The sequence below is a fragment of the Homo sapiens genome, chromosome 8 (assembly GCF_000001405.40).
Source record: "Homo sapiens chromosome 8, GRCh38.p14 Primary Assembly".
Classification (NCBI taxonomy): domain Eukaryota; kingdom Metazoa; phylum Chordata; class Mammalia; order Primates; family Hominidae; genus Homo; species Homo sapiens.
In genome coordinates this window covers 3,378,857-3,395,436 of record NC_000008.11, presented here as the reverse complement: position 1 = coordinate 3,395,436, position 16,580 = coordinate 3,378,857, and the positions used below count along the sequence as shown (strand labels likewise).

Below are 16,580 nucleotides of genomic sequence, written 5' to 3'. Positions count from 1 at the left end.
ATGGGAATCACCCCTAGGAATACATTTTTAACATTAGCCAATTAAAACAAAACAAAGCAAAGCAGCTGTTATTCTTTTCTCTGTTTGAAAACACTTCCCTCAAAGAGTAGCACGGAAAAAGCGAGAAAAAGTGGCAATTACTATTGGACCTGAAGGAATCAGACTTTTATTTTGCCAAAGTTTTATGGCTGTTCTTTTTCAGAGCTTTATCTCAAGTACTATTGTAAAGATGTTTTTAAAATTTACATATACCCACACGTATGATTTTACAAATGCATGCATAGAATCATGTCTACTATGATGGGTTTCAAATCTCCTTTTGTTCGTTTTCTTGCCTTCCATTCCCCACATCACCTCCTATTACTCTTGTTACCCTCTCCCTGAGCCCCACTCCAGCACATTTAAATTAACAACCTGTTATGTGCATTCCTCGGTTTTACATACTCATATAAGTATACACAAACGTGCATATGCATGTATATCTTAAGATTTTGTCTACTTTTAGATAAAAATATTCCAATATCAGGAAAATTGCTTATCAATGACTTAATGACAAATTTCAAATTTAATTCAGTTATTACTCTTCACATATATAGATATACAACATTTGCTCCAAAGTAACGTATTTTGAAACTTAAAGTAAAATTTAAGAACCAGGAAATTTTACATTTTGTTTCTTTAAAATGTCCATTCGAGTTGTCACTTCTCTTTGAAGTAACAATATGTGTAAACATTGCAGTGATCTGAATTTGTAAGATCCCTAATAAGCCTTGTATTTTCTCATCCTCTCCCACACCCCTCCCCCCAACTTTTTCTACACCAGAATTTCTTGACTCTTAGATATATAGTGCATGAAACTTCAGAGAATAATTATTTTCAGGCATTGACAAATATTAGAACACTTTTCCTTTCTTTTCATCTGTATTTCTGTAGCTGTAGATGACTTTGCTTTTTCTACTTCCATTTGAGGGAATGTGTTCCAAAGGCTAAGTGAAGGCAGAAGAAACTAATTTCATTTGTTTATCCAAGTCATTTAAATAAATGTCTTCTTCTTATTTCTCTTTCTGGAAAATCAGGAAATGATAAAAAGTCATTTCATAAATTTCTATTTAGCTTGTCATCCTCACTAATATTATAATAATAATATTTTATTATTATAAAATATGGAATACACATTATATTATACTATAATATAATAATTTAATATGTAAGTAATCCTGACAACTATTTTTATAATCTTAAAAGAATGACTACCCTATGTTTTGGTATTCTTTTCATTTATCCTGTGTTTAAAAGTAGAGGGCAGGCTTCGTAAGGCATTCTTCCATCACCTGGAGTACCCCTCAGAGAGTAAAGCTCTTTGCCATTTTTCTTTTTTTCTATATATATATATATATATATATATATATATATATATATATATAATTTATTTTTTTATTATTATTATTATTATACGTTAAGTTCTAGGGTACATGTGCACAACGTGCAGGTTTGTTACATATGTATACATGTGCCATGTTGGTGTGCTGCACCCATTAACTCGTCATTTACATTAGGTATATCTCCTAATGCTATCCCTGCCCCCTCCCCACACCCCACAACAGGCCCCAGAGTGTGATGTTCCCCTTCCTGTGTCCATGTGTTCTCATTGTTCAATTCCCACCTATGAGTGAGAACATGTGGTGTTTGGTTTTTTGTCTTTGCCATAGTTTGCTGAGAATGATGGTTTCCAGCTTCATCCATGTCCCTACAAAAGACATGAACTCATCAATTTTTATGGTTGCATACTATTCCATTGTGTATATGTGCCATATTTTCTCAATCCAGTCTATCATTTTTAGGCATTTGGGTTGTTTCCAAGTCTTTGCTATTGTGAAAGTGGGTGAAGGATATGAACAGACACTTCTCAAAAGAAGACATTTATGCAGCCAACAGACACATGAAAAAAATGCCATTTTTCTTTCTCTCCATCCCTAAAAAGAAGAAGAAAACTGTCACCAAGATGATGCCTGTTTATACAGTGATAATTGTGTGAGAGTCATAAAGTTCTGATCTGCTGGAGAGTCTAGCATTCCCTCTTCTTTCCACCTTGTTGGAAGTCTCAGGAGGTAGCTGTATAGCCACAGAAGTGAGCAGAGGCCTCACCTAGTGAGTGAAGACAGGAAATTGTTGCGTTTGGAACTTTCCAGCACTGTGACTTCAAAGGCTCACTGCTCTAAACACACATCTAGACTTGCATATAGTGAACTTCCAGAAGGCTCTCAAAGGTTTGTCACCTATTCCTCTGACTTAAGGGAGAAATAGGACCTCAGAAGGATGTGATACTGAACCTTGACTTGGGATCACTTCTTATTTATGTATCAGTCGCTGTGTATTTGAAGAGACATATGGAAATGTACATAAGTGAATGAGGTTCAGGACATGGCTTTTTGTTTGCTTGTTGTAAGAAAATGAGTCAGGAAAGGCCTGGGATTTTATGAGTGCTTATCACCAGCCCTGCACCTAAGGGTTACCTGCGGGGTTTAAAATAAAACCAATGCCTGAATACCAGCTCAGATGTTCTGGTTGCTATTTCTGTGGGTGGTGTAGAGATATGAGTGCTTTCAGAGGCTCGCAACCCACTCAGAGGGTGTCCCCGTTTACCCGGTGCTGAAGGGGAAGGTTTCTTCAAACATCATAGTGCACTAACACATCCCTGGGAGCTTAGTAAATTGTACAGCCCCAAGCCCAGATTCCAAATATTGTGATTCAGGGAACTCATGATGAAAATCAGAATCCTGAGCTTTTAATCAAGTCCTCGAGGTGATTCTGAATAAGGTGAAGGCAGACGCAGATCCCGGGCTCCAGGGAGAGAGAAAACCCACAGGCAAGCAGGAGGGAAGGGGCCAAGGCCAGCAGAGGTCACGGAGGGTTAAAGGAACCAATGAGTCCAGCGAGAAAAGCAGAGACAGAGAAAAAGTGGCAAAGCGTGGAAGAGAAAAATGCTACCAACCCCTTCATCCAGGTAACCCCGTCTAGCACCCTTCGACAAAATAGGTTCTGAAGCCAAGATGCAGGCACTAGAAAATGATTACACTCACTCATCCAACACATTCTTTGAAAGTGGGTTGCCTGTGACCCAAGAATTATTATTTTTTTTCAAGTGAAAATGTCATCCAATTTTTATTTATTTTATTTTTTTATTATACTTTAAGTTTTAGGGTACATGTGACAACGTGCAGGTTAGTTACATATGTATACATGTGCCATGTTGATGTGGTGCACCCATTAACTCATCATTTAACATTAGGTATATCTCCTAATGCTATCCCTCCCCCCTCCCCCCACCGCACAACAGGCCCTGGTGTGTGATGTTCCCCTTCCTGGATCCATTTGTTCTCATTGTTCAATTCCCACCTATGAGTGAGAACATGAGGTGTTTGGTTTTTTGTCTTTGTGATAGTTTGCTGAGAATGATGGTTTCCAGCTTCATCCATGACCCAAGAATGATTTATATCAAACTCTTTATGCCTCTTAAAAACAGGAATATTGCTCATCTCTTCTGTTTCATCATACATGTTTCACATTATAAACACTCCTTGCTTTCTGAAATTATTAATGACGCTTCTTCATGCCCATAGAGGCCCATGCCAATGATCTCTACAGACAAAATGTGTTGCAGAAATCACAGCCACAGGTACTCGAGGCTGACTTATATTTGCAGCGGTGCTACAAGGCAATGTGAGCTACTGTAAACAGCATTCACTCCAGAAGGCCTTTCTGAATTGTGTGGCTCAAAGGTTGAAGTCATTTTTTTGAGGCTTTTGTAAAAGCAAACCTAGAATTGCAGTTCTGCTTCATGCACTCAGTCTTAGGAATCATCTCATATGTTAGTGTCCAGCGACAGTCTAGCCATTCTTTACGAGGAATGTGGCACAGTGTCTGTATATAATAGCGATTGCATTCTCGCTCCAGAATGATCATCTGCTTTGTATGTTGATCTTTAAATCACCACTTTAAAATTGTCATAATTTTGTAAGAAATTGGAAAATAAATGGAATTCTCAAGGGTATGAAGGTTTTCCATTTAATTTTAGAGCATTTTTTGAAAATGCTGTCAAAAGTATCTTGTTAATCATCTCTGAAGGCAGAAGAAAGATTCATCACTTGTAAATGTACATACTCTACTGTGTGATTGATATATCATGTTATTCATGGAAGAAACATTGTGATAAAGGAGTATATTTAGTGGTTTATATGTGCGTGCACACCACACCAATTGTTTGCTGAGATTCGGTGACTTTTTATATGATCAGAAAAGGAAAGGAGAGTGGTCGGGATGTAATGGTACTGGATGCAATGCAAAGGTATATATAACATGCCCATGCATGCTAACACTCACAGGCACACGCATGGATGCATACATGAGAGAGAGGAGAAAAGCAGGCAAAGGCTCAGGTTTCAATATCAGTAAATAATGTAACATGGCCAGTTTGCTTAATTTCTTGGCTCACTGGCTTTATCAACTGTGACTTTTCAACCTCTATTTTGAAACCTCTCGGAGGCTGTGAGAAGTGACATCTCTAAGCTCGGCATATGAAATGTGCTCAGGAAATGTTCATTCCTTCCTTGGACTAGGAGTTTTATAAAGACTGTTGATTCATACAGAACCCTGCTCATATCAAATGTACCTCCGTATGAGCTGCACACGGATTATTTGCAAAGTAATCAACTCCCTTTATTCATTAAGTAGCAAATGTATTCAGTCACTTATTTTGCAAAGACCAATTGAAAAAAAAAAAGTAATGTTTGTAACTATTTGTATCAAAAATTCATTGTTGCTTTAAGGTTCAAGTAAGAAGGAGTGGGAACAGACTCTGAATATACACGTCGTTTCAACAAAGTCCGGTGGTCTGTATTTCTCTTTGTGCTGTCAGGCAGGAGACAGAATGGGAAAGAAGGTAGGACTTTGCCCTACCTTTCCCACAAGGTAAATTGGCTACCTGTGTCCACAGACTGGTCTTAGTTTATCATAAATGTATTGTTCCATTGGAGATAAATCACCTGCTACAAAATTCCTTTTTTTTTTTTTTTTTTTTTTTTTGAGACAGAGTCTTGCTCTGTCGCCCAGGCTGGAATGCAACGGCACAACCTTGGCTCACTGCATCCTCTGCCTCCTGAGTTCAAGCGTTTCTCCTGACTCAGCCTCCCAAGTAGCTGGGATTCCAGGTGCCCACCACCACACCTGGCTAATTTTTATATTTTTAGCAGAGACAGGTTTTCATCAGGTTGGCCAGGCTGGTCTCAAACTCCTGACATCAGGTGATCCACCCACCTCGGCCTCCCAAAGTGCTGGGATTACAAGCATGAGCCACCGTGCCCAGCCAAATTCCAGATGTTCTTTCTCACCATTTTCTTGTTTCAGGATTCTTTTACATGGCCAGTTTCAGTTGAACTGGAAATCGAATGTAGTATCATAATTCTACCACTCAACAGTCCTCCCGTCCTGTACTCTCCATTCAAACAGTTTGTAATGAAAACGAGAACAATGTCTGCATATTTCAAAATTCAATAGTGGTGTCAATTATTATTTAAAAATGAATGGAAGTATTATGGCATAATATTGGAACTAAGCATCAATTGTGACCTTAAGAGTTTATTCAGTTTGAAATGTAAATAATTCAACATTTTAATTCGATGTTTTTATTTCTACCGCAGTTTGTCTCTTTTCACTGTAAATTTTGTGTGGGAAAAGTTTAGTTTATGGTTTATAAATTTCATTATTAAAACCATTAATATATAATCCTCACTTATTAAAACCATTAATATATAATCCTCACTTATTCTAAGATAATCGTTCCTATTACTGTTTTGCCGTAGTGCATACACTGTTGTTTAGTGACCACAGAAACCTTTTTGAAGAAATGAAATTATTTAGTTAACTGTTTTTTTTCCCCAGAAACCTAGAGATCAGTGCATTTCTTCAGCAGAGCTTCTTCTTTTGAGGGAATTCTTGTCTTGATTTTGATCTTGATGCTAGGAGCTGGATGTCATTATCCTTAGCAAACTAATGCAGCAACAGGCAACCAAACGCCGCATGTTCTCACTTATAAGTGGGAGCTAAATGATGAAAACACATGGACACATAGAGGGAACAACACACACTGGGGCCTATCAGAGGGTTGAGGGTAGCAGGAAGGAGAGGATCGGGAAAAACAACTAATGGGCACTAGGCTTAATACTTGGGTGAGGAAATAATCTGTACAACAAACTCCCATGACAAAAGTTTACCAATGTAACAAACCTGCACATGTACCCCTGAACTTAAAATAAAAGTAAACAAACAACAACAACAAAAAATCATTCACCCAGCACTGGGTTTTAAAATAAAAGTAAACAACAACAACAAAAATCATTCACCCAGCATTGGGTACCATGTGTTCATTTGGAGCCAATAATGCATAAAATCTGTGGGAGTGTCCTGGAAGAAGTCATAAACAATGCCTCTGAAAGTGAATGTGTGTGTGTGTGTGTGTGTGTGTGTGTGTGTGTGTGTGTGTGTATGCATGTGTGTGGTGTGTATGTAGAGAGAGGGAGGGAGGAGCAGGTGGTAGGTAATAGATTTCTAGCCAAATGATATCCACGTTGCCTCTGGCAGATTGAAAGCTCCTCCAGAGTTGGAAGGAGGCTTTCCTGCCATACTGCGCAGCAGCAAGGACAGTTACATTCTGTTGTTTAGGGCAATAGACATGTGTTAGTGTTTAGAAAATTTGTTAGAAAAACAGTTTAAGAAAAAAGTATTGGGGCCAGGCCCAAGTTATAGCACTCAAATTTTGGAAAAATAAAACATATGCAATGATCAGAAACAATATCCCGAAGATCACCTTTAGAGACTAAACAGTCTTTAAATTAGAAATATTTTTAAGACTTTTAATTCACAGTTCAGATATTCATTCTAATGTTCTGATGTTTACTGAGAGGATGACACAGCAATAACAAGGATTTTTTATTTCTTCGCATATGTAAACATTACAATGATATTCTTTTCCCTTATTCTCATTTTCCTTAGCTCTTAAAATATATGTTTTTCTAAAAAGAGAAATGAGAAATGTGAGAGGAGAAAAGAAACTCTCATAATGATATGATCATAATTACTTCATGCACATTAATTTTTCCCATCGTTAGCAAAGGCTAATAGTAGCTATCTTGCAAGTGGCTGACTTAAACTAAAATTTGAAAATAGCATGGATTTATGGAATGCAAACTTAGAAAAATAACACTAGCACAGTTTTTAATTGCATTATATGTGTATATGTTTGGGTGTATGTATGCATTTATTTGAAAGTTAAACTGCCAAAATCTAACTGGAATATATAAATATAGAAGTACATATGTCTATATTTAATACATATATAAGACACAGGGAGAGTGGTGGTGAAAAATAGAAAACAGGAAAAGTCTTAGACTTTATTTAGTGCAATTCATTGATTTTCCAAGAAGAAAAGTAAAATTCAGAGAAGTTAATTAATTATTCAAGGTTGTTGTATGTAGATAATATCTGGTAAACAGCATAACAATATAAATCTCTCTTTTAAAAAACGAGGTCAAATGTTTGAAGATGCATTGGCTTTTATGTCCATGGATTGTTGGGTTCACTTGCATAATGTTTCAGGTCTTATTATTTCTGAGACTATTTCGTAGTTGATGGCGTGGGTCTCTATTATTTTCAATCAACCAGAAAGATCCTCATCGACTGCATTCGTTCTGTGCATCCAGGTGTGACGCTTGAGTCGGATTCCTGCCTGGACCCGGGCATCCCTGTGAACGGCCATCGCCACGGTGGAGACTTTGGCATCAGGTCCACAGTGACTTTCAGCTGTGACCCGGGGTACACACTAAGTGACGACGAGCCCCTCGTCTGTGAGAGGAACCACCAGTGGAACCACGCCTTGCCCAGCTGCGACGGTAGGTACAGCTCAGTGAGGCAATGCACCAGCAGGGTGTGCAGAGACAGCGCACACGTCTAACTAGCTGGGTGGTGTGTGTATTTCAGGGGGTGGTACCTTACGACTGGCGTGAGTTCCCTCTGAGAAGTTGTATACCATCATCGTATCATTCCCGATCATTTGAAGTTTACCTACCACCGTGTATGTACTAGATAGAACAACTGTCCTTCAACTTTATCCCCGAATGAACAAACTTAGGGAGCTTAGTTCTGCACATGTGTTTTACATATGGTATTTATTGAAACTGGCACGTGGGGCGGTATAGTCGCCACACATATCCTAGGATGTCAGACCTGATTTTCCCCTGACATACGTCCCAGTGTCTCACTTCCTCTCAGTCTACAGTCCGTGTCTTTGTTTCCGTGGACTGAATGTCTAGCAGAGCCTTCTCCTGGGAGTTCTCATTCTGAGCTCAGAAGCTGTCAGGAGATCTTCAGCAGCTTTTTGTGATAACAGCCACTCCTGTTGTCCTACACAAATCTTCTCTTGGGAATCTCAAGACAAATAACATTCCTGATTATTTTGTGTTATTGTATTGCTCAACGTTATACTATGCTGTGTGTAGTTATAATAACAGTTAGGTAAATATGTTGCTTGTAATCATTTGCCAAAAAAACTTGGGGTATTTTGCCCTTGACCATGAATATAACCCCAGTATAACATTGTTTCTATGGAAAATAACATTCCAAGAAACATTGTTTCTGCAGAAAAACGTTCCAGGAAACATTGTTTCTATGGAAAACAGTGTTCCAAAACACATTGTTTCTATGGAAAAAGCAAAAATATTTCATTTACATCTTCAATACTTTTCACAGACAAAGGTATTTCCTTTCAAACATGATGCATGCATTCATTAAACACCTTGACTTCTTTAAAATGAGCACCCAAAATAACAGGGTTTATGGAAAAATTCTGCTTAACTGCAGATCACTCAAAATCTTTGACCTTTGTCACCAAAGCACGAACCCACACAGTAACTGGCACTGTGGCCGAGACCACAGAGTGCAGGTGGACAGCACAGAGCTGCTGGAGCCCTCTCAGGAAGTGTGGGAAGTGTGCGAACCAGCTGGAACCGGTGGGAATGCTGCACTCTGGGCAGGAGTAGGTGGGAGTCGAGTTCGGCGTCTGTGGGGCCACACGAGCAGGCTGAGAAAGAGGTGCAGCCTGACATGAGCCACTGGCCAAGCAACGCAGGGGTGAGCCCCCCAGGTGAAGGTGCTTTCTGCTAAGTTTCTGAATAGAGATGCAAAAGGGTTCCTTTTTTGTGCAGATGAGCTGAGGCATTTTTCTTTTCCTGCTATTGGTTATAATTCTAATACATCAACTCCATTTGTCTAGGGAATATGGTGTAAGCACCAAGGTAATTTAGACATTGTATTGATATCATTTTGCCACTTACCAATCTTAAATGAGCTAAGAATTACTATTGCAGCAGGAAAGACAGTAAGAATTTAGACAATTGCTAAAATGTACATTCTTAATTCCTCTTCTATTTCACGACAATCACAGATGGTGGCAGAAATTACCTAGTGCTTTTTTTTTCCTCTCATATGTGAATCTGCAACATGGACTATGCATACCCAGCCCTGGCATTTTCCCACAGAGGAATTCTCTGGCCAACTTCTTCTTATCCAAGCAGATGAAAGAGGTGAAAACCTGTGAACAGTAGTTATGCCTAAGTTTTTCTGGAAAGACATGTCTCATTTTTTTACATTAAACTTTAAGTAAACTCTAAAATAAATATTTAAACATAAACTCTAAAATAATATATCGCTTTCATAAATATACAGAGAACCGTCATATAAGTGAATTTGCCTACAGAAAACACCATAATTAATAGTAAACTCTTATAAAATTCCCTTGAAAGTCAAGAACAGGATATACTCCTTGGTTTTAGAAGTATTGTGTAACATTGCTTTGAAGATCCTAACAAATGCAAAAGTATATGAAAATGATATGAATTAGAAATATTATAAAGAGAAGATAGTTGACTTTTAGCAACAATCAGTTCAGTAGGTGGCTGCATTCAGGATAACAGGTCAATAGATTTCCGCATAGGATATAACTTATTAGAAATACAATAAAAACATGTAGGGTAAAACACAAAAACACAAAAAAATTATCCAGGAATAATATATCTAGCAAGAAATGTAAAGGCCTATATACATACATACATATATATTCATACATACACATGTATACATACATATGCATTCATAGATATGCATGTATATGTATATGATTTTACATTTCTATTTATATATTTAGACTTCTATATATTTATATATTATGTATTATATATTTATATATTATGTATTATATATTTATATATTATATATATTTTTATTTATATATATATTTTATATATAAATTATATATATATTTATATATTATATATTATATATTTATATATTATATATATTATATTTATATATTATATATTTATATATAAATAGCATATGTATTATATATGCTATATATGCATATATATTATATATTATATATGCATATATTATATATTATATTAGCATATGTAATATATAAGCATATATAATATATATTATATATTTGCATATATAATATATATTTACATATAAATAGCATATATAAATATGTATACTATTTTATTTAATTATATATTTATATATAAATAGCATATATTAATATATATTATATAAATATATATTTATATAATTTATATAAATATATATTTATATAATATATATAAATATTATAAATATATTTATATATAATTTATATAAATATATATTTATATATAAATAGCATCTATATTAATTTATATGTATATAGCAATATATAAATAGCAATTTGCAAATATTTAAAAATTAATTTGGAAAAGAAATGCTCCAAATGGATACGAAATATATTTTTGAGAATAATAAGGAAGGACTGTCCCATGTTGTATCAGAGCATATGAAAAACTAATGATAAACCGAACAATGTGGAATTGGTATGGAAATACACAAATATATTAGTGCAATAGCGTAAGGATTCTAGTAACAGATCTTTGTCTGTACAGAAACTTAATTTATAATATAATTATTCCATTTTGTAGAAAAGGGATATCCTATTAAGACATAGTGTTGCTCAAATTGGATGCCTGATTTGATTTAAAAATGTTTAAAAATGTACATGAAATAAGTTACACATTGATTGAAGATATAAAGATTCAAAACTTAAAATTATTATGTGAAAATTTAGACTATCTCTCAGACAACCATTTTTTAAAGATGTCTACATATTTATTTATTTCTACAAGTATAAGTGTGTAGCTCAATGCATTTCCCAGAGTAAACATGTCCCTGTCAGCTCAAGACCATGTAGGTCACTAAACGAACTTTTCCAGGACTCCACACTTCGCTTTCACAGCCTCGCCCAGTCACTGCCTCCCAGGGTTGAACCTTAATTGTCTGGCACTAGTGGTTATGTAAATAAATGAAATTATCCAGGGAAGGTCCTGTTTGTCCAGCTTCTTTCCTGCAACCTTAAGTCTGTGGGGTCCATCCATATTATGGCAGTTAGCTGTGTTTCGCTGCTTCTCATCATCTAATATTATTGCTTAAACATATCAAAAGTTTTTATTTCATTCTACTGTTTGCTGACATTTCAGTTGTTCTGAGCACATTTTTGTATATTTATTGGACATTGATGTATCATCTCTTATAAAGCATCTCTTTCTTTGCTTCCATTTCTATTGGGTCACATGCGTTTATCTTACTGAATTATAGGTGTTGTGTAAATATTTAGATACAGTTCCTTCGATCTACACATTGTAAGTCTTTTATTCTGGAGTTGTTCTTCTCCTTCTCTTATTGGCATCATTTCGATGAATAGAAATTTTTAATTTTAAGATAGTCCCATATTTCACTGTTTTCATTCGTGCATGAGGTTTTCCTAGTGTGGAAGAAGGCTTCCCTCCATGCATGAGGTTTTCCTAGTGTGGAAGAAGGCTTCCCTCCATGCATGAGGTTTTTCTAGTGTGGAAGAAGGCTTCCCTCCATGCATGAGGTTTTTCTAGTGTGGAAGAAGGCTTCCCTCCATGCATGAGGTTTTCCTAGTGTGGAAGAAGGCTTCCCTCCGTTCAGAGTAATGAAGACATTCTGTTGTTCTCTCCTAAAAACTTTAAACATTTTAACAGCTTTATTGAGGTGTGACTGAAATGCAGTAAACTGCATGTTTAATGTGAACAATTTGATGCGATTTGTGATACATATGAACATCTATGAAAGCATCACCATGATCTATAACTTGTTAATCACCCCTAAAAGTAAAAACTTATGTTTATCTTTTAAATTTATAACTTCAATCCATCTAAAAATTTGTGGATTTGTGGTAAGGAACGATGTAGTGTCCAGATCCATTTCTTCTCCAATCTGGCTATCTACATGCGCTGGCATCATTGGTATTTGAGATCCTGTTTCTCCTCTCATTGTTCGGCTGACTTTGTCACAGCGTTTAAGTGGCCATGCCTGTGAGCATCATGTTTTCTTTGTCATTTAGTTTTGGGTTTTTTTGAGAAATCTTAGTTTTTAAATCTTGGAAAACTAAAGAAATCCAGAAACAGTAAATGAAAAAACATTGATCAATTTTGCTATATGCACACTAAAAGTTATTCTATTAAAGATGTAAAATAAAGGGTCAGACAACCAAAAATAGTTGCATTCTCCATGTAATATACACATGAAATAATCATACTCTGCTACTGGAAGAGAGAAGAAATGCAACACTAATAAGCCAACAGATCTATGAGAAAATGAGCTATGCAGATACATTTTATATCTATCTCTATATAGAGAGAGATATTTATATTTATATTTATTATTATATATTATATAGAGATATTTATATATCTATTATAGATATATATAGAGAAAGACATAATGCTAATAATAAATATATATTTATATAAATTTATATATATATAAATTTATATACATAACTAATTAAATATATAGATTATATATAATATATTATATATATTATATTATATATGTTATTATATAATATATTATGTGTTATATATTATATAATAACATATATATAACTAATTACTAAAGTTATTGGAATGCTAATAATAAATATACATATATAAATTTATATATATATATAAATAACCCTAACCCAATAAACTTTAAAAAATATTCCAGTGCTGACTAGGAATCAGAAGAATGCAAATAAATAATAACTTTTTCCCTTTCCTGCTGGAGCACAGTGACAGGATCTCGGCTCACTAAAACCTCCGCCTCCCAGGTTCAAGCGATTACCCTGCCTCAGCCTCCCGAGCAGCCGGGATTACAGGCTCCCACCACCATGCCCAGCTAATTTTTGTATTTTTTAGTAGAGACAGGGTTTTGCCATGTTGGCCAGGCTGGTCTCGAACTCCTGACCTCAGGTAATCTGCCTGCCTCGGCCTCCCAAAGTGCTGGGATTATAGATGTGAGCCACCGCGCCCAGCCTGATACATTCTTTTTAAAGGAAAAAATAAGAGGTAATAGAACAATGCATGTTGTGTATATGCATATACTGTATAGATATATGTAATTGCAGGTACACACAGAATTGCATAGAAATTGACTGAAAATAGACATTCTAAAATTGTAACTCTCATGCTCGCCTCTTCAGAGATAACTAGGCTGTAGCGTGGGAGCAGTGAGATTTTTTATTTTTCACTCTACATTTTTTGGTATTATTTGAATTTATGTTACTGAGTCTTATTTTTGTAATTGGAACTCTAGTAATGAAAAATAAATAAACTACATGTGTCTGTATAATTTTTAGTGTCAGAAGGATGATAACTACTGGCTAATTATAATTTTGTAAAACTCAAGGATGTCATATAGACGATGCAAATATTTGTCATATTTTTGGGTTCTATATTAAAAATATTTGCAATAAGAATGATAACCCTTAAAATATTCAAGTTTTCTTCATGTGTAACTGAACTTGAATCTGTTTGATGTTTTATTAAATTACCCTAAATTTGCAATAGAATAAGTTAATTGTATCAATAATTTTACTTGAATGTTTATGTGCCATGCAAACACATATGGCTTTCTTGGATGATACTGTGCATTTTTAATAATTTATTTTTGTTAATTTGGACTATAGACAAAAATAGAATTTTAACATAGGGTGTGTGTAAGCTGCTCTCTTTTTTTTTTCATGTGGGTAGATCTGTTGAACAGGTACCGACATGGGGCTTGTCAAGTTGTTTTACTTGCAGTCATTTTAGTCATACCTGTAAAGATTGAAAAGTTGTAGTACTCTGAATGTAAGGTGATGGGTGAACGCACCCTGTTCATCATAGCACAGTCATTGAATTACGTATGCTCTTGATCTGGTAATGAAAACTGATATACCCAAGCAAGAGACTTTGCCTGACTCATTTGAGATACATAATTTTGATTGTAAGTGAGGTTTTTCTCAAAACAACCTTCTCACATACCTGTGCATTCAAGTACCATCCCCAAATTCTTCTTTGAGCATTGGTAACTTACTTTTTAAAATATTTTACTATCTAACCAAAACTTTTTTTTTTTTCATTATACTTTAAGTTCTGGGACACATGTGCGGATCGTGCAGGTTTGTTACATAGGTATACACACGCCATGGTGTTTTGCTGCACCCAACAACCCATCATCTACATTAGGTATTTCTTCTAATGCTATGCCTCCCCTAGCCCTGCATTCTCCGAACAGGACCCAGTGTGTGATGTTTCCCCAGCCTGTGTCCATGTGTTCTCATTGTTCAGCTCCCTCTTATGAGTGAGAACATGTGGTGTTTGGTTTTGTATTCCTATGTTAGTCTACCGACAGTGATGGTTTCCAGATTCATCCATGTCCCTGCAAAGGACATGAACTCATCCTTTTTTATGGCTGCGTAGTATTCCATGATGTATATGTGCCACATTGTCTTTATCCAGCCTATCATTGATGGACATTTGGGTTTGTTCCAAGTCCTTGCTATTGTGAACAGGGCTGCAATAAACATATGTGTGTATATGTCTTCATAGTAGAATGATTTATAATCCTTTGGGTACATACCCAGTAATGGGATTTCTGAGTCAAATGGTATTTCTGGTTCTAGATCCTTGAGGAATCACCACACTGTCTTCCACAATGGTTGAACTAATTTACACTCCCACCAACAGTGTAAAAGTGTTCCTGTTTCTCCACAGCCTCTCCAGCATCTGTTGTTTCCTGACTTTTTAGTGATCCCCTTTCTAACGGTTGTGAGACTGTGTCTCACTGTGGTTTCGATGTGCATTTCTCTAATGACCAGTGATGATGAGCTTTTTTTCTTATGTTTGTTGGCTGCATAAATGTCTTCTTTAGAGAAGTGTCTGTTCATATCCTTCACCCACTTTTTGATGGGGTTGTTTTTTGTTGTAAATTTGTTCAAGTTCTTTGTAGATTCTGGGTATTAGCCCTTTGTCAGATGGATAGATTGCAAAATTTTTCTCCCATTCTGTAGGTTGCCTGTTCACTCTGAGGTACTTTCTTTTGCAGTGCAGAAGCTCTTTAATTATATCCCATTTGTCTATTTTGGATTCTGTTGCCATTGCTTTTTGGTGTTTTAGTCATGAAGTCCTTGCCCATGCCTATGTCCTGAATTGTATTGCTTATGTTTTCTTCTAGGGTTTTTATGGTTTTAGGTCTTATGTTTAAGTCTTTAATCCATCTTGAGTTAATTTTTGTATAAAGTGTAAGGAAGGGGTCCAGTTTCAGTTTTCTGCATATGGCTAGCCAGTTTTCCCAACACCATTTATTAAATACGGAATCCTTTCCCCATTGCTTGTTTTTATCACATTTGTCAAAGGTCAGTTGGTTGTAGATATGTGGTGTTATTTCAGAGACCTCTGTTCTGTTCCATTGGTCTATATATCTGCTTTGGTACCAGTACCTTGCTGTTTTTGTTACTGTAGCCTGGTAGTATAGTTCGAAGTCAGGTAGCACGATGCCTCCAACTATGTTCTTTTGGCTTAGGATTCATTTGGCTATATGGGCTCTTTTTTGGTTCCATATGACATTTTAAGTAGTTTTTTCTAATTCAATGAAGAAAGTCAATGGTAGCTTGATGGGGATAGCAATAAATCTATAAATTACTTTGGACAGTATTGCCATTTTCACAATATTCATTTTTCCTATCCATGAGCATGGAATGTTTTTTTATTTGTTTGTGTCCTCTCTTATTTCCTTGAGCAGTGGTTTGTAGTTCTCCTTGAAGAGATCCTTCACATCCCTTGTAAGTTGTATTCCTCAGCATTTTATTCTCTTTGTAGCAATTGTGAATGGGAGTTCATTCTTGATTTGGCTCTCTGTTTGTCTATTATTTATGTATAGGAATGCTTGTGCTTTTCGCACATTGATATTGTATCCTGAGACATTGCTGAAGTTGTTTATCAGCTTAAGGAGATTTTGAGATGAGAAAATGGGGTTTTCTAAATATACAATCATGTCATCTCCAAACAGAGACAATTTGACTTCATCTCTTCCTATTTGAATGCGTTTTCTTTCTTTCTCTTGCCTGAGTACCCTGGCCAGAACTTCCAATACTGTGTTGAATAGGAGTGGTG

At 35.7% G+C, this 16,580-nt stretch overlaps 1 protein-coding gene across 3 annotated transcripts in view; it reads left to right on the top strand.

Moving 5' to 3' along the window:
- The window catches only part of CSMD1 (CUB and Sushi multiple domains 1), a 2,059,554-nt gene that overhangs the window by 1,599,478 nt on the left and 443,496 nt on the right, over positions 1–16,580 (top strand). For all 3 annotated transcript variants that reach the window (XM_011534752.3, NM_033225.6, XM_017013731.2), the window contains exon 18: positions 7,755–7,943. In XM_011534752.3, coding sequence (XP_011533054.1) covers positions 7,755–7,943 — 189 coding nt within the window. The remainder of the gene's footprint in view (positions 1–7,754; positions 7,944–16,580) is intronic.